Genomic DNA, 18,146 nt, shown 5'->3' with positions numbered 1-18,146 from the left:
GCAAGGTGCTATGTTCAGTGCTTTGGGGTTTGAGAATTTGGCATAGTTCTTTTTTAAGCAAATTACATAAATTTAGGAGATTAATATAGAATTGCACATTTAAAATTTTTATTATGCCAATTATGGAGAATTTTTTGAAGTGCCATCATAAAAGACTTTTATTGTTATTTTATTTTTAATTTGTATTAATTTATTTTTAAGTAGGTTAGTATTCAGAAGTCTATTAAACAGGCTGGGTGTGGTGGCTCACGCCTGTTATCACAGCACTTTGGGAGGCCAAGGTGGGTGGACCACTTGAGGTTAGGAGTTCAAGACCAGCCTGGCCAACATGGCAAAACCCCGTTTCTACTAAAGACACAAAATCAGCCAGACATGGAGGCGTGCACCTGTAGTCCCAGCTATTCAGAAGGCTGAGGCAGGAGAATCACTTGAACCCAGGAGATGGAGGTTGCAGTGAGCTGAGATTGAGCCACTGCACTCCAGCCTGGGTGACAGACTGCAACTCTGCCTTAAAAAAAAAAAGTCTATTAAACAAATTAATAGAGTATTTTTTATTTTTTAAATTAACAAGCTATGTTTTTTTTTTAGCAGCTTTAGGTTTATAGAAAAGTTTCCATGTACCCCCTTACCCACCTATTATTAATATCTTGTGTTAGTGTGATAATTTGTTATAATTGGTGAATGCCTATGGATACATTATTACTAACTAAAGTTAGGAATTTGCATAAGGTATCATTCTTTGTGTACATTCTATGGGTTTTGATACCTGCAAAATGGCATGTATCGACCACTACAGTTTCATACAGAATAGTTTCGCTTCACTAAGGTACAAAGGATGATGGTGGAAATTAAATGTCCCTTGCACAGAGGCAACCTCTATTATTATACTAGAAAAAAAAAAAGCCATTTTAATATAAACAACTTGGAAAAACATAATCTTAGAGAAAAAGAGTTTTTTCCACAAAAAGAACAGTTGGGAAAACTATGCTTATATATTTTTCCTTTCTTTATTCATTCACTTATTCATTTACCAATGATTTTTTTATACCCCTATGAATGAGGTGTGATTTCAGGTGCAGGAAATACACCAGAGAACAAAGCAGTGAAAATCCGATAGCCTGCCTTCTTGGAGTTGACGTTCTTGTGGGAGTTGGATCAGAAACTGAGACCCCTCGTGGAGGCACATGTGAGCAAATGGGGAACCCCACCAGAAGCCAAGAAAGAGAACATCTATGTGGGCCAAGAGTGAGCTGGCTTTATTCCAGGCACTTAGATACAAAAATGAGCACACGTTGAGAAATTGACCACCTGCATGGCCGGGCGCGGTGGCTCACGCCTGTAATCCCAGCACTTTGAGAGGCTGAGGCAGGCGGATCACCTGAGGTCAGGTTCGAGACCAGCCTGGCCAACATGGTGAAACCCTGTCTCTACTAAAAATACAAAAATCAGCCAGGCTTGGTGGCGGGCGCCTGTAATCCCAGCTACTCGGGAGGCTGAGGCAGGAGAATCGCTTGAACCCGGGAGGCGGAGGTTGCAGTGAGCCAAGATCTCGCCATTGCACTCCAACCTGGGGGACAAGAGGGAGACTTTGTCTAAAAAAAAAGCCGGGCGCAGTGGCTCACGCCTGTAATCCTAGCACTTTAGGAGGCCGAGGTGGGCGGATCACGAGGTCAGGAGATCCAGACCATCCTGGCTAACACGGTGAAACCCGGCTCTACTAAAAATACAAAAAATTAGCCGGGCATGGTGGCGGGCGCCTGTGGCCCCAGCTACTTGGGAGGCTGAGGCAGGAGAATGGCGTGAACCCCGGAGGTGGAGCTCGCAGTAAGCCGAGATCACGCCACTGCACTCCAGCGTGGGCGACAAGCGAGACTCCATCTCAATTTAAAAAAAAAAAAAAGAAAAAGAAATTGCCCACCTGCCTTGTCCAAGACTGGTCAGACAGGGCCAGTAGGACTAGTCAAAGGCCTTCTTGTGTGGGTCTGAACTGGACTCAGGAAACAGAGTCTGACAATAAGGTTTGCTCTTTGCTTGAGTATGAATGCAAGGTGAGGAGGGAATATTGAAGCACTGAAAGGACAGTCATTTTTATTTTTTTGATGAGGGGGTTTCTATTTATGCAAAGAAAGCAGCTGAATCTGCCTGCCTTTTGCCTGCTTCTCTGTTGATCTTTCGAGCATCTGGCCTTGCCTCTGATTCGAAGCGGCAGTTGAACTGCACTGAGTTACAGCTCTGCCCATGGCTCTCCCATCTGGAGATCTGTTGCGTAGGGTGAACCACAGACTTTATGCCTTTAAACAAACGAATAGAGTATTCTTTTGATTATTTTTTGAATGATTACTTTTTTTTCTTTTTTGATTTGGAGTCTTGCTCTGTTGCCCAGGCTGGAGTGCAGTGGCACCATCTCAGTTCACTGCAACCTCCACTTCCTGGGTTCAAGCAACTCTCTTGCCTCAGCCTCCTAAGTAGCTAGGATTACAGACATGTGTCACCACGGCCAGCTAATTTTTGTATTTTTAGTAGAGATGGGGTTTCACCACGTTGGCTAGGCTGGTTTTGAACTCCTGACCTCAAGTGATCCACTCGCCTTAGCCTCCCAAAGTGTTAAGATTACAGGCGTGAGCCACTGCGCCTGGCCTAGATTACTTTTGTTTTGTTTTATTTTGTTTTGTTTGCAGTTGTAGGTTTATAGGAAAGTTTCCACGTACCTCCTCTCCCACCCTCATTTCCCCTATTATTAACATCTTGCATTCATGTGATAATTTGTTATAATTGGTGAATGTGTATTGATACATTATTACTAACTGAAATAAGTAGTTTTAAGCTCACGCCTATACTCCCAGCACTTTGGGAGGCCAAGACGGGCGGATCTCTTGAGCTCAGGAGTTCAAGACCAGCCTGGGCAACATGGCAACACCAAATCTCTACTAAAAATACAAAAATTAGCTAGGCATAGTGGTGGGTGCCTGTAGTCCCAGCTACTCAGGAGGCTGAGGCAGGAGAATTGCTTGAACCTGGGAGGCAGAGGTTGCAGTTAGTGGAGATCGCATCATTGCTCGGGCGATCCACCTGCCTCGGCCTCCAAAAGTGCTGGGATTACAGGTGTGAGCTACCTTGCCATGCCCCTTTATGGGTTTTGATAAATGCAAAATGACATGTATCCATCACTGCAGTATCAAACAGAATAGTTTCACTGCCCTAAAAATCCTCTGTGTTCTACCTATTCATCTCTTCTCATCTCCCCAAAAGCCCTAGCAATCATTGCTTTTTTTTACTGTCTTTATAGTTTTGCCTTTTCCAGAATGTCATATAGTTGGAATCATACAGTGGAGAGCCTTTCAGATTGGCGTCTTTCACCTAGCAATATGTGTTTAAGATCCCTTTGTTTCATTTTGTGCCCAATAGCTCATTTCTTTTTATTGCTGAATAACCTTCCATAGTAGGGATGTACCACTGTTTTTTATCCATTTACCTATTGAAGGACATTTTGATTGCTTCCAAGTTTTGGTAATTATGAATAAAGCTGCTATAGACATTCATGTGCAGGCTTTTGTGTGAACATAAGTTTTCAACTCATATGGGTAAATACCAAGAAACGTTATTGCAGGATCATTTGATAGGACTATTTTTAACCTTTATGCTTGATTTTTCAAACAAACTCTTCCCTTTTATGTAAAGTGTTTAATGCAGAAAAATGTAGCATAACATTTTATTTTAAAACAATATGTTGCATGCAATTTCTTTTTTGACATGAGTTTGCCAGTTTAGGAATTTGCCACAAAGCTAAACGCTTTAATGTCCAAAACAACATTTGGGGCATTTGGTTTTTTAAAAATAGACTTTATTTTTGAGAGAAATTTTAGTTTCATAGCAAAATTGAGCATAAAGTACAGAGATTGCCCATATGCCTCTAGCACCTTTTTTTTTTTTTTTTTTTTTTTTTTTTTGAGACAGAGTGTCACTGTTGTCTAGGCTGGAGTGCAGTGGCTCGATCTCAGCTCACTGCAACCTCTGTCTCCTGGGTTCAAGTGATTATCCTGCCTCAGCCTCCCTACTAGATGGGATTACAGGTTCCTGCCACCACACCCGGCTAGCTTTTGTATTTTTAGTAAAGACGGGGTTTCACCATGTTGGCCAAGCTGGACTTGAACTCCTGACCTCAAGTGATCCATCCACCTCAGCCTCCCAAACTGCTGGGATTAGAGGCATAAGCCACAGCATCTGGCCTAGCACCTACATTTTTACAGTCTATCATTTATGAAAATATAGTTGCATGTGGGTTTGCTCATGAAAATGTTGACTTTAAAAAAAGCAAAACTTCAGAACTTTTAAATTTCAATGGCAATAAAAGCACACAGAAACAAATACAAGCAATGCAGACCTGACTAATGTAAATATTATCACTTCTGGCCGGGCATGGTGGTTCACGCCTGTAATCCCAGCACTTTGGGAGGCTGAGGCAGGCAGATCACTTTGAGGCTAGGAGTTTGAGACCAGCCTGGGCAATGTGGTAAAACCCCATCTCTACAAAAATTACAAAAATTAGCCAGACATGGTGGCGTGCACCTGCAGTCCCATCTACTCAGGAGGCTGAGGTGGGAGAATCACTTGAGCCCGGGAGGTGGAGGTTGTGCTGAGCCTAGACTGCTCCACTGCACTCCAGCCCGGGCGACAGAGACTGACTTTGTCTCAAAAACAAACAAACAAAAATATAATTTCTCCTTCTTCCTCACCCCCACCCCTCTTGCCCTGGTCACCACTCAATACAATGTGTAAACTTGCAGACATCACTTTTCTGTGCTTCAAAAGCGAAGTTAAGGGGTTTTTTGTTATTTTTTTTCTCAGTTCACCAGTAGTTTCATTTGTGTTATTGTTTTTACAAAAATGGGATTCTACCATAAATATTGTTCTGCAAAATTGTTTTTCTTTAAATACAGTACAGATGCTTTTTAATTTATGATGGAATTGTGTCCTGATAAACTCATCATAAGCCACCCAATAATTGTTAGGACCTCAAAAAATAAAATAAAATAAAAAAGTCATTATAAGTTGAAAATATCATAAGTTAAAAATTCACGTAATACGCCTAAGCCTACCAAGCATCATAGCTTAGCCTACCCTACCTTAAATGTGCTCAGAACACTTACATCAGCCTACAGTTGAGCAAAATTATCAAACACAGCCTATTTTATAATAAAGTGTTGAATGTCTCATGTAATTTACTGAATTCTATATTGAAAATAAAAAACAGAATGATGGCCTGGGTACTTGAAGTATGGTTTCTACTAAATGCATGTTGCTTTTGACACCATCGCACAGTAAAAAAATCATTAGGTCAAACTATTGTAAGTTGGGAACTGTCTGTATGAACTTTCCAGCTGAGTGCATAAAAAATTAAGTCTTTTAATGATTGCATAATATTCCACAGTCCATTACCCTATGATAGAAATATAAGTAATTTTGTTATTCCAAATCATGCTTAAGTAAACATTCTATACACACATCTTTATGCATTTGTGCTCAAATTTCTGTAAGATGAGGCAGAAGTATAGAATTGGGATCATTGGCTCATTTCATATACACACACACACATGCACACACACCCTCACAGACTTAAATGGTTCTCTGTAAATTCCAGCAACATAAGTAAATCTCTACATGCTGGATGGTATTTTTTGCCACCTTCAAAGGCAAAAATTGGTATCTCATTATTTCAAGTTATAGTTTACTGATCTTGAACATCTTTTCATATGCTTGGAAACCATTTGAATTTCTTCTGAAATTTGTTCATGCTCTTCACTTATTTTTCTTTTAAAATAATTTTTATAAATAATATACAATAATTCATATAATACAAGCAATATATTAATGTAATGTCCTTATAAAATTTCAAACAGGGCCAGGTGCAGTGGATCATGTCTGTGATCCCAGCGCGCTGGGAGGCTAAGGTGGAAGCATCACTTAACATCAGGAGTTGGAGACCAGACTGGGCAACATTGTGAGACCTCATCTGTATAAAAATAAAAAATAAAAAATTAGGTGCGTGTGGTGGTGCATGCCCATAGTCCCAGCTACTCAGGAGGCGAAGGTGCGAGGATTGCCTGAGCCTAGGAGTTGAGGTTACAGTGAGTTATGATCGTGCCACTGCACTCTAGCCTGGGTGACAGAGGGAGACACTGTCTCTTAAAAAATAAGAAATTAAAAAAAAAGATTTGAACAGTACAGAAGTGTATAGAATTAAAATGTAAAAATTCTGTCTTCGGAAATCAGCTACTCTAGTCAAAATTTGGGATGTATTCCCCTATAAAGTTTTTTCTGCATATGTGATACATACATACATGTATACACACGTGTGTATGTGTGTAACTATGTTCATAAAAATCTATTATCCTGCATCATGCTTTTTGAACTTAATAGATTTATATATAAATTGTTTTACTTAACAATATGTCATATATAGAGAACTCTGATTTATTTTTATTGATTGATTTTTGAGACAGAGTCTAGCTGTGTCACCCAGGCTGGAGTGCAGTGAAGCAATCTCTGCTCACTGCAACCTCCACCTCCTGGGTTCAAGCCTCCTGCCTCAGCCTCCCGAGTAGCTGGGATTACAGGCACCCACCACCACACCAGCTAATTTTTTTTTTTTTGTATTTTTAGTAAAGATTGGGTTTCACCATGTTGGCCAGGCTGGTCTCAAACTGCTGACCTGAGGTGATCTGCTCACCTCAGCCTCCCAAAGTGCTGGGATTACAGGCATGAGCCACTGCACCTGACCGAGATTTTTTTATTTTATTTTATTTTATTTTATTTTATTTTATTTTATTTTATTTTATTTTATTTTATTTGTTTATTTTTTAAGATGGAGTCTTGCTCTGTTGCCCAGGCTGGAGTGCAATGGTGCCATCTCGGCTCACTGCAACCTCCTCCCCCAGGGTTCGAGCGATTCTCTTGCCTCAGCCTCCTGAGTAGCTGGGATTACAGGCGCCCACGACCACACCTGGCTAATTTTTGTTTTTAGTAGAGACGGAGTTTCACCATGTTGGCCAGGCTGGCCTCGAATTCCTGACCTCAGATGATCTGCCACCTCAGCATCCCAAAGTGCTGGGATTACAGGTGTGAGCCACCACGCCCGGCTTTGGAGAACCCTGATTTTTAAACCATCCTTTAGTATTCCATGTGGCATGGACTGAATGTTTGTGCCCCACCCCCAAATTCATATGTTGAAACCCTACACTGAAGTGAGATGGTATTAGGGGATGGGGTCTTTGAGAAATTAGGTTTGGATGGAGTCATGAGGGTGGAGCTCCCATGATGGGATTAACGTCCTTTTAAGAAAACAAAGAAGCTACAGCTTGAGTTCTTGGCCATCTGAAGGTACAGTGAAAACGAAGCTGTCTCCAGACGCCAGATATGCCAATACCTTGATTTTGGACTTCTCGGCTTGCAGAATTGTGAGAAATAAATGTTTGTTGTTGAAGATATATTTTTGTTATAATAGCCAGAACTGAACAGAACATCATTAGATTTCTCTCCGTTTTGTTTCCTTTCTTTTTAACCAACACATATATGTTGCTTGGTGGATAAGGCATTCTTGTAGTGCTTTATAAGTATTAGCCCATTTAATCATTATAACCATCCCATAGAACAGGTATTCATTTGATTAAGAAAACTGAGGTATGAAAAGTTTAAGTAACTTGCTCAAAATCACATGCTAGTTAGCTGCAGAATCGATTGAAATTTTACTTTAAAATTCCCTTATTGATAAGTTCATGCTCTTTCTAGTTTCCTGAGGTTTCCCATGGTGCTGCAGTGCATATCCCAGGTACCCAGCAAGCAGCCTGGAGAGGAGCAGGGAGTCAGGTCCAGGGGGACTGAGAAGGTCAGAAGCACCAACACAGGCAGAAGAAAGAAGGGCTGAAAGCCTTCTTTCTGAAGTGTGGTATGCAGGTGGCCTGCAGAAAGAACACATTCTCACAGCATCCACGAGCAGAAAGAACAGACCATGGAGCCAATCAAGGACAATTTATCTTGAGAACAGAAAAGGTTAAAGTAAGTCAATAAGGGCCAGCTTGCTGGGCAGGGTTTCAATGTGGAAAAGTTGCTTATTGAGCCACAACCAAGGATCCTAACAGTCATTATTTCTCAATGATTTGGATGATATGTATGAAAGAATATTATATTACATTATCAAATAGCACATTAATATGATTTGATATGTTTACCTGGCAAATTTGCTATAGTTACTTAGCATTTGAGAATTTTCATTTATATTGAATTGATTCAAATGCATACAGAGTGAATATTTGCTGTTTCTTCCTGGATGGCATTATATAGCTAAAATAAGAGAAAGACTATTTTTATTTTTATATATTTTTACTTTTTTTAGAGACAGTCTCACTCTGTCACTCAGGCTGGAGTGCAGTGGTGCAATCTCAGCTCACTGCAACGTCTGCCTCCTGGGTTCAAGCGATTCTTCTGCCTCAGCCTCCCAAGTAGCTGGAATTACAGGTGCACACTACCATGCCCAGCTAATTTTTGTTTGTTTTTTGAGACAGAGGCTCACTCTGTTGCCCAGGCTGGAGTGCAGTGGTGCGAACTCGGCTCATTGCAACCTCTACCTCCTGGGTTCAAGCAATTCTCCTGCCTCAGCCTCCCGAGTAGCTGGGACTACAGGTGCCCGCCACCATGCCTGGCTAATTTTTGTATTTTTAGTAGAGATGGGGTTTCCCCATGTTGGCCAGGATGATCTCGATCTCTTGACCTCGTGATCCGCCCACCTCGGCCTCCCAAAGTGCTGGGATTACAGGCGTGAGCCACTGTGCCTGGCCAAGAAAGACTATTTTTTAAGATAATAAACTAAGAGATGTATAGAAAGCAAGTAGTTGAAAATAAAATTAGATAAGAACTGATGAAAACGAGAGTTAGTAGAAATTATGGAACATCTTAGATTTGGTCAAACAAAAATAAAAACAGGCAGGAATTTCCTTCCTAAAATGAACTAAATTTTGAAAATGTAGAAGCAAAACAAATTTTAGATTTTGAAAACAGAGATCCTTAAAACAGGAATGTTTCTGGAATAAATGTCATTATCTCTAAATATCTTTTAAAAGTCCTTGTTGCATGGAAGCATATCGTGTTCCTGGATGAGAACACTTGCTATTATAACAATATCAATTTTCCCCGAATTAAACCATACATTTACCTCAATTTTCTAAAATCCCAAGAGAACCATGAGAGTCTCAAGTGGCGGCACTAGCATAGAAATACAGAATCTATGACACAATAAAAACTTGAGAAACAGGTTCAAATATGCATTAAAAAGTGGCCTGAAATTAAAGCATTTAAATGTACTGAGGAAAGGATTAACTGCTTAATAAATGATATTAAAACAAAACGTGAGCTCATCAAGTTGCCAAAAATATATTTTTCAAATAAAAATTTCCACTATTGGTAATAGAGTTCAGGAAACAGAACATTCTCGTGGTCTGATTGGAGTATAAATCGGCACATTTCTGGAGGGAAATTACACAGATATAAAATCTTCAACAATGTCTATATTTTATGAGCCAGTAATTCCGTTTCTAAGAATGTTTTCTAAAGAAATCTTTGTATTTTATTTTATTTTTAATTTTTAGAGACGGGGTCTCACTCTGTCACCCAAACTGGAGTACAGTGGCACGATCATAGCTCACTACAGTCTGGAACTCCTGGGCTCAAGTGAAAGAGTTGTTGATGTGTCCAAAGATTTATCTCTGAAGATAATAACTGAGTGTTGATGGTTTTGCCTAAATTATTTATAAATCTAAATAGTCAATAGGAAGGTATGATTAAATAAATTATAGAACACGCTCACAATGAAATACTGTGCAGCCATCAAAATTATGTGGCATGACAGTGAGCTAACATCTGTCCAGTGCTTGGCATGTGCCAAGCAGATTTCTAAGAACTTGACGTGCAGCAACGTGTTTCAGCCTCCCAACACATCTGTATGAGGCAGGGCGATGATTACTTGCATGTTATAGCTGAGGAAGCCACTGAGAGGGTGCAACTCCTTGCTAGTAAGTGGTAGAGCCCGTATTTGAACACTCCTAATCATTACAACTATGTAACAATATTGGAAGATTTTATGCAACATAAGTGGGGAAGAAGGCAGTGTCCTCAGTGTGACCCCATTTTGGTAAAAGAAGGCATGTATACATAATCATAGAAGGAAACCAGAAAGAAATCCAGAAAGATGCTGAGTATTTTCTGTGGGTGGTGGGATTCTCAGTCTTTTGAGCAGATGCTGTTGGTACCCTGGCCCACCCTCGTGTCACCACCTCAAGTTACCTTATTACAGGGTAGGAGTTTCCTGGTCTTTCTGCCCAAGGGCAGAAAGTGAAAGTCTGGCCAGTGTACAGGGCAGACCAGACTGCTGAGGAGCTGATGTCCCAGGAGTACCCCTCACAGATGACAGAAGGTACCCTTTGCGGCTGTGTCCTTCCCACTGTCTCAGAGGGTCCCCAGGAGAAGGAGCACCAGGGACCCATAGCAGTAACGTTTATAGCAGTGCCAACACCTTCGTGAGCTTTTTCTCTTCCTCTCCCATCTCATTTCTGCTTTCTTTCGCCATGCTTCCTGGGATCACCTCCCAGCAAACGTATTGGCAACCAAATCATGTCAGCGTTGGCTTTGCGGAGAATCCAGACTTGGTGAGTAGTTTTTAAATGTTCTCCTTTCTTCATTTTTTTTTTCTTCAGCAAACATGTTGCATTTTAACAAGTTAAAAGGAAGACTAAGTTATTGTTAAAAAGGAATTTACTGGGTTTCTAGTTAAACAAGGTGGATTGAACCATGCATTTATCTCCTTCACAAGACTGCAAAAAATGCCATCAAGGCAATAAAATGTACAAATACACAGGGCAAAGAGAATAGGAGAAGAGATACCAGTGTACACGAAATGCCAACAAATATTTGACTTAGCAGAGCAAAATGTCGGTGAACAGAGTTGCAGTCATGAGGGAAGGTGAGCCAAGGTGTGGGGCTGCCTCTGTGTCTCCTCCAAACACCACGCAGCCAGAGATTCAGCCTCCACCCCTCCTCACACGGGAGATAGAGGTTGAGTTCAGGGGCTATTGGCTTCAGACAAGGGATGCCCAGCGCCAAGGAAGGAGTGGGTAAGAAACAGGGCTGAGAGCTCTGGGGAGGGAATTGCGAGGTGGGTACAAAATGAGGGGGGGCTGCTTTCTTATTATAAGCCTTGTAATACTATCTGGCTTCTAAAAAAAAGTATGTGCTTGTATAATGTTAATCAATTTTAAAATAAAATACTGAAGGAATGTTTTTATTTCAATTTAGAAAAATCAGACCAGTGCTATTTAATCCTCAGATGGACACACATGCACAATGTCTATGGCAGCACTGGTCACAACAGCCAAAAGGTGGAAACTGCCCAAATGCCCATTGGTGAAAAAATGCATAAGTAACTTGTAGTATAAAATTCAGTTGTTTTACAACTGAATTATAAAGGAATGAAGTACTCATATAGCTACAATGTGGATGAAGCTTGAAAATATTATGCAAAATGAAAGAAGCCAGGCACAAAATGTCACCTATCATAAGATTTTATATATATGAAATATCCGGAACAGGTAGCTCCATAGAGACAGAATGCAGATAGTGGTTGCCTGGGGCTGGGTGGAGGGGTACTGTTGGGTCACTTCTGGAATGGGATCCCCTTTGGGGTGATGAAAAAATTTTGAAACTAGATAGAGGTGGTGGTTGCACACATTGTACATGTACTAAATGCCACTGAATTGTCCACTTTAAAATGGCTAATTTTACATTATGTGACTTTCACCTCAGCTTAAAAAGAAAGAAGAAAAAAAAAGCATTCAAGACTAATAAAGGACTATGCGCAGTAGCTCATGCCTGTAATCCCGGCACTTTGGAGGCTGAGGCGGGAAGATCGCTTGAGCACAGCATTTGAGACCAGCCTGGGCAACATGGCAAAACCCCATCCTTACAAAAAATACGAAAATTAGTTGCACGTGATGGGGTGTGCCTGTAGTCCCAGCTACTCAGAAGGCTGAGGGAGGAGGACTGATTGAGCCCATGAGGTTGAGGCTGCAGTGAGCTGAGATTGTGCCACTGCACTCCAGCCTGGATGACAGAGTGAGAACCTGTCAAAAAGAGGAAAGAAAGAAAGAGAAAGAAAGAAAGAAAGAAAAGAAAAGAAAAGAAAAGAAAAGAAAAGAAAGAAAAAGAGAAAGAGAAAGAAAGAAAGAAAAAAGGAAAGAAAGAAAGAAAGAAAAAGAAAGAAAGAAAGAAAGAAAAAGAAAGAAAGAAAGAAAGAAAGAAAGAAAGAAAGAAAGAAAGAGAAAGAAAGAAAGAAAGAAAGAAAAGAAAGAAAGAAAAACGACTAAGTGGGAAGGCAAGAAGAATTAGGAATGCTGGACACTACTGCACTTGCCATGTTTTCAAGAATGTCACCGTGCAGACCAGTGATTCCGCCTCGCAGGATGACATATGGCCCTCGGACCAGGCGACACAGTGGAGATGCGCATGCCAGCCTCGTGAAATCATGGAGGTTCAAGGGGCAAAGTGTTCACATGCCTAATGAGTGTTGATCAGGTGGTAAGACACCCACAATAGGAAGGGTATTGATTATTCCACGTGCTGAGCTTTTCTTTAGATTCAGCAGACACAGATGAAAATAAGGAACATAAAGGAAGCATTCTTCAGAATCTCTTGATACCTTGACTGTTTGTGTCACACACAGTGTTCCCCAAATCCCAGCTTCATCATAAAGACTTCCTGGGCTGAGGAAGGAGCTGAGGGCTTCCCTTTTTAACTCTCTAAAGCTCATAATCTATAATCACATTTTTTTATGAGCAGAATTGTGCTCCAGTCCAATTCATATGTTAAACTTCTAAACCCCAGTACCAGAAAATGTGACAGTATTTGGAGATGAGGTCTCTACAGTGCAGTCAAGTTAAAATTAGGTGACCAGGGTGGGCCCTAGTGCAGTATGACTGGTGTCCTTATAAGAAGGGGATATTTGGACATAGAGACCCACACAAAGGGAAGATGATTTAACAAGACAGAGACAAAATGGCCATCTCCATAAGGAGAGAGGCCTTAGAGGGAACCAATCCTCCAACACCTTGATCTTGGACTTGCAGCCTCCAGAACTGTGAAACAATACATTTCTGCTGTTTAACTCCCCCAGTCTGTTGTACTTTGTCATGGCTGCCCTAGCCAAGCAATACTACACTGTATAATAATCCCTGCTCTTCAACCTTCAAATGCATATAACCTGTACAAATACCTCGCTCATCTTGTATTGGGTGATCTTGTGAAATAAACTCATGACCATTTTAGATAATAAATTTTTTATAGGATAGATCCTAGGGATAAATAATTTTTTGGCTACAGCCTCTAACAGAATCATCTATGATTACAGTCGTTAATAATTGCTTTTATACTACCAACTGCAAAGAGGATGTTGAGTATCAATGCTTTAACAGAAATCACCACCTGCATGAGGAAAAGGTATGACATGAAGCATGGATAACTCACACCTGGGCAGCTCCCAACACAGCACACACACACAGGCAAAGAGGCAGCACAGGGCTGGCTGGTCATTTACCACGTTCCGTAAATGTGAATTCTGTGCGGCAGCAGCATCTCCTGGGGACTGTAATGTGGCCATTTTAATGCAAAATTAATTGTCAAATATAAGACTGCAGCGGCCTTCTCCCGAGTGATTACCTCACCCTCCAGCAAGTCATCTTCACTCTTGTCATCGATGCTCCCTACCTTGTTAGCAATATTCAAATGATCACAAATGACTTCAGGATCTCACACACAAAACGCAACACCTCCTGGTCAGCTCACACCCATTCTAGAATTTGTTCTTACTCACTTATTTCTACAACAGGAAGGGAATCATTTCTGGAATGTGTGTTATTTCTGCATTGTCATTGTCATCATCATAATCATCATAAGATGACACTTGTGTACATTTGCCACTTGCTTCAATTTTAGACTGAATTCTGGGCATAAGTCACATTAAAAAATGTGTCTCTAATATTATAGCAATAAAGTCCTATGTGGTACATATGATTTTTTCTGGAATCTCTTATGTACTGATATTTGATATTCTGAATAGCCTCTTGGTATACAGATTAAATTATTGCAAGGTTGGAAGATGTAAAAATAATACTCCTAGATATTCACTTCGCTTCTGCCAAGTTGAGTTCTACACATGCCAGTCAGTGCAGCAGCTTTACCCTCCCATAGCCCCTGGCTGTGATGTGCCCTTTCACTGCAGGTACAGAGACAGCTGAGCAGAACAAATGTCTTTGTTCACAGGGTATAAGGGGTGTATTCGTTTCTATGGCTGCCATAACAAAGAGACTCTTTGGCTTAAACCAACAGAAATTTATTCTTTCACCATTTTGGAGGCCAGAAGTCAAGATACCTGCAGGGCCATGCTCCCTGTGAAACCTGGGGAAATCCTTCCTTGCCTCATTCTAACGTGTGGCTGGCAGCCAGCAATCTTCAGCGTTCCTTGGCTTGCAGCTGCATTAACTGCATTCTCTGTGTTGGCCTCATATGGCGTTCTCCTTGTGTGTTTGTTTTCACAGGGCCATCTTCTCATAAGGACACAGTTATGTTGGATTGGGGGCCCACCCTACTCCAGTAGGACTTCATTTTCATTAATTGCATCTGCCATGTTCCTATTTCCAAATACGGTCAGATTCTGAAATACTAGGTGGTTAGATTTCATTTCTTTTCTTTTTTGTTGTTGTTGTCATTTATAGAGACAGGGTCTTGCTATGTTATTAGGGCTGGTCTCAAACTCCTGGCCTCAAGAGATCCTCCTGCCTCAGCCTCCCAGAGTGCTGGGATTACAGGCATGAGCCAAGTCAGGATTTCAACCTATCTTTTTAGGGTAGACACAATGCAACCCATAACAAGGGGCACTGCAAACTTCATGCTTTTTAGTTTTGAGGGCAACTTATAAGGCAGCATTTTTGTTTGTTGAATGGACACAAAATCTTATTTATAGGGAAGTGCATAAAACACAGAGGCATAGTTTATAGACATATAAAGCAAATATCTATGTAAGTCTCATTCAGGTCGTGAAACAGAACATTGCTAGTCCCAGAGAATCTCCCTGTGCCCCTCCTATCCTGCTAGAGGTAACCAATATCCTGACTTTTGTGATAATAATTTCCTTGCTTAACTTTAGAGTTAATGAAATGATGCTATATGTATTCTTTTCTGTATATTTTTTTCACCAGCAAAATTCATTCATTTAAGTAAAATAAGGGTTAATTTAAAAATATCATCCATGTTGCTAAATGGCTGCAGTTCAACTCATCTTCATTGCTGTATGTTATCCCACTATATGAATATACCATGGTTCAACCCTTCTCTTGATGCACATCAAGGTTGTTCCCAGGGGCTATTACATATGAAACTGAATATTCTGGCAGAAGGATCCTGGTGCACCCGTGGATGAATTTCTCTAGGGCATGTTCTGAGAGAAGGGATTGCAGGCTGTTTTCCAAAGTGGTTGCACCCATTTGCTCTCCTTCCAGTAGTATATATGAGCATTTCTTTTGCTTTACAACCTTGCCAACATCCAAACATTTGATGTCAGACTTTCACATTTTGCCAACCCATGGATTATAACTCTTTCACTGTGAGCTTTTAAAAAATTATATATATTTAAAAAATATATAAACATGTTTTTAAATTATTGAGATGGTGTCTTGTTCTGTCACCAAGGCTGGAGTGCAATGCTGTGATCACGGCTCACTGCAGCCTCAACCTCCCAGGCTCAAGCAATCCTCCCATCTCAGCCTCCTGAGTAGCTGGGACCACAAGTGCACACCACCACACGGGCTAATTTTTTGTTTGCAGAGATGGGGTCTCCCTGTGTTGCCCAGGCTGTTCTCAAACTCCTAGGCTCAAGCAATCCTCCCACCTCCGCCTCTCAAAGTGCTGGGATTACATGCATGAGCCACCACACCCAGCTTCATTGTGAGCTTTAAACATGCATTAATGGCTCCCAAAGATGTCCGTGTTCAGGAAATTGTAAATATTTTACTTGGCAAGGGAGAAGTAAAGTTGTAGAAACTCTAGTAAGACTGTTAGCTGGATAAATAAATAAGGTTGTAGAAAGAATTATGCTTGCTTATCAGCCAACACTGAGATGAGATTATCCTAGATTATCTGGGTGGGGAAGGAGGGAGGGTGAAGAGACTGGTCAGAGTGACTTCATGTGATGTAAAAAGAACTCAAGTGGCCATTCTATAGTTTAAAGATGGAGGAAGAAGCTGCAAGCCACAGAGTGTGGACCACCTTCAAAAGCTGGGAAAGGCAAGAAAATGGATTATACCCTAGAATCTCCAGAAAGTAATACAGCCCTGCCACCACCTTGATTTTAGTGAGAATTCTGACCTCTAGGACTGTAATAGAATACATTTGTGTTGTTTTAAGTCACACTTATAATTTATAACAGCAGCAATAGAAAATGAATACACTGGATAAAATAAATCTGTGAGATTCTTATTACTAATAGCCAGTTGTTCCTTGGTATGTGCTGGAGGATTGTTACAGGATGCTTGAGGAGACCAAACTCCATGGATATCAAGTCCCTGATATAAAGTGGTATTTGCATACAACCTACCCACATCCTGCTGTATACTTTAAATCACCTCTAGATTACTTATACCTAACACAATGCACTTGGTATGTAGACAGCTGTTACACCGTATTGTTTAGGGAATAGTGACAAGAAAAATATCTTACATGTTCAGTACAGACACAAGCATCCAGTTTTTAAGAAATATTTTCAATCTGCACTGTACTCTTAAAATGGGGCATTAATACAATTCCTCAGAGACTTCATATGTCTTATCCATGAGAATAAATGTTGGCTTACCAGCTCAAGGAGGGCAGGTATTTTGGTTCTAGTACTTTTGACAAATAATTTGAAAAGAATATTTGCTTTGAGAGTGTATTCTTTTAGCTAATTTTGACGGCAATATTTGGAGACAGGGACAATTGTGTGAGGCAAGAAATCAGCATTAGTAGAAGGAAAAATAAGGCCACTGCAATCTTGTTGGTCTACACTGAATTTCGTAGGCCTCATGATTTTTTAACTTATTCTAAATAATCTTAGACCTACAGAAAAGTCTTAAAAGCAGTTTCCATATACTTGTCACCCACCTCCCCCTAATATTAGCTTTTTTGTTTTTAGATGGAGTCTCACTCTGTCGCCAGGCTGGAGTGCAGTAGTGGCACAATCTTGGCTCATTGCAACTTCTGCCTCCTGGGTTCAAGCAATTATCCTGCCTCAGCCTCCCAAATAGCTGGGACTACAGGCGCATGCCACCACACCCAGCTAATTTTTGTATTTTTAGTAGAGACAGGGTTTCAACCATGTTGGCTAGGATGGTCTCAATCTCTTGACCTCGCGATCTGCCAGCCTCAGCCTCCCAAAGTGCTGGGATTACAGGTGTGACCCACTGCACCTGGCCAACATTAGCCTCATACATAACCATAGGAACAATGATCAGAACCAGGAAATTAACACTGATCAAAATGCTGCTAACTAATCGGCAGACCCTATTCCTATTTCACCGGTTTCCCCACTAATGCCCTTTCCTGGGTCCAGCATCCCACACTGCATTTAGTTGCCATGGCTCCCTATCTCCTCTAGTCTCTGACAGTTCCTCATTCTTTCTTTAACTTTCATGATGTCCAGTTGTGAAGTGTTGGCTACTTTGTAGAATGTTGCTAAATTTGGGTTAGAGGTTTCCTCATGACTGGGTTGAGGTGACCCATTTTTCCCAATGCCATGGAATAGTGTTTTTCTCAGTGCATCCTATTGGGAAGTATGTGGCATCCTCACATCTTCCTGATCACTTGATAAGCCATGGTGTCTGCCAGATCTCTCCACTGTTGTATTTCTTCTTTTGCAATATCTCGTGAGGAGATACTCAGATTGTACACATAGCCTTTCTCAGGCTTTTGCCCATGAATTTTAGTATTGATTCCTGCCTTTAACAATGACTATGTTGTAGATTTTCTGTTTACATCATCCCTTTTATCTTTACTAACTGGTCGCTAATGTAAGGAAGAGC

General features: G+C 40.8%; 1 long non-coding RNA gene across 1 annotated transcript, besides 1 other annotated feature; it reads left to right on the top strand.

Annotated features, from left to right (window-relative positions):
• Positions 704-883: a silencer, noted in NCBI's record as "silent region_19225". NCBI's record gives its function as "represses an Ori minimal core promoter by ATAC-STARR-seq in GM12878 lymphoblastoid cells {active_cell/tissue: GM12878}" and the evidence as "EXISTENCE:reporter gene assay evidence [ECO:0000049][PMID:35858748]".
• On the top strand, positions 10,810-14,109 carry LOC124901950 (uncharacterized). The gene is made up of 2 exons (XR_007060923.1): positions 10,810-11,159; positions 11,848-14,109. It is a non-coding gene; the product is annotated as an uncharacterized LOC124901950 (long non-coding RNA).
• Positions 14,110-18,146: the final 4,037 nt, after the last annotated feature.

Source organism: Homo sapiens, chromosome 8 (assembly GCF_000001405.40).
Source record: "Homo sapiens chromosome 8, GRCh38.p14 Primary Assembly".
In the NCBI taxonomy this organism is placed as follows: domain Eukaryota; kingdom Metazoa; phylum Chordata; class Mammalia; order Primates; family Hominidae; genus Homo; species Homo sapiens.
Note: the sequence above shows the minus strand (reverse complement) of the source record. Positions and strands in the feature narration are given on the sequence as shown.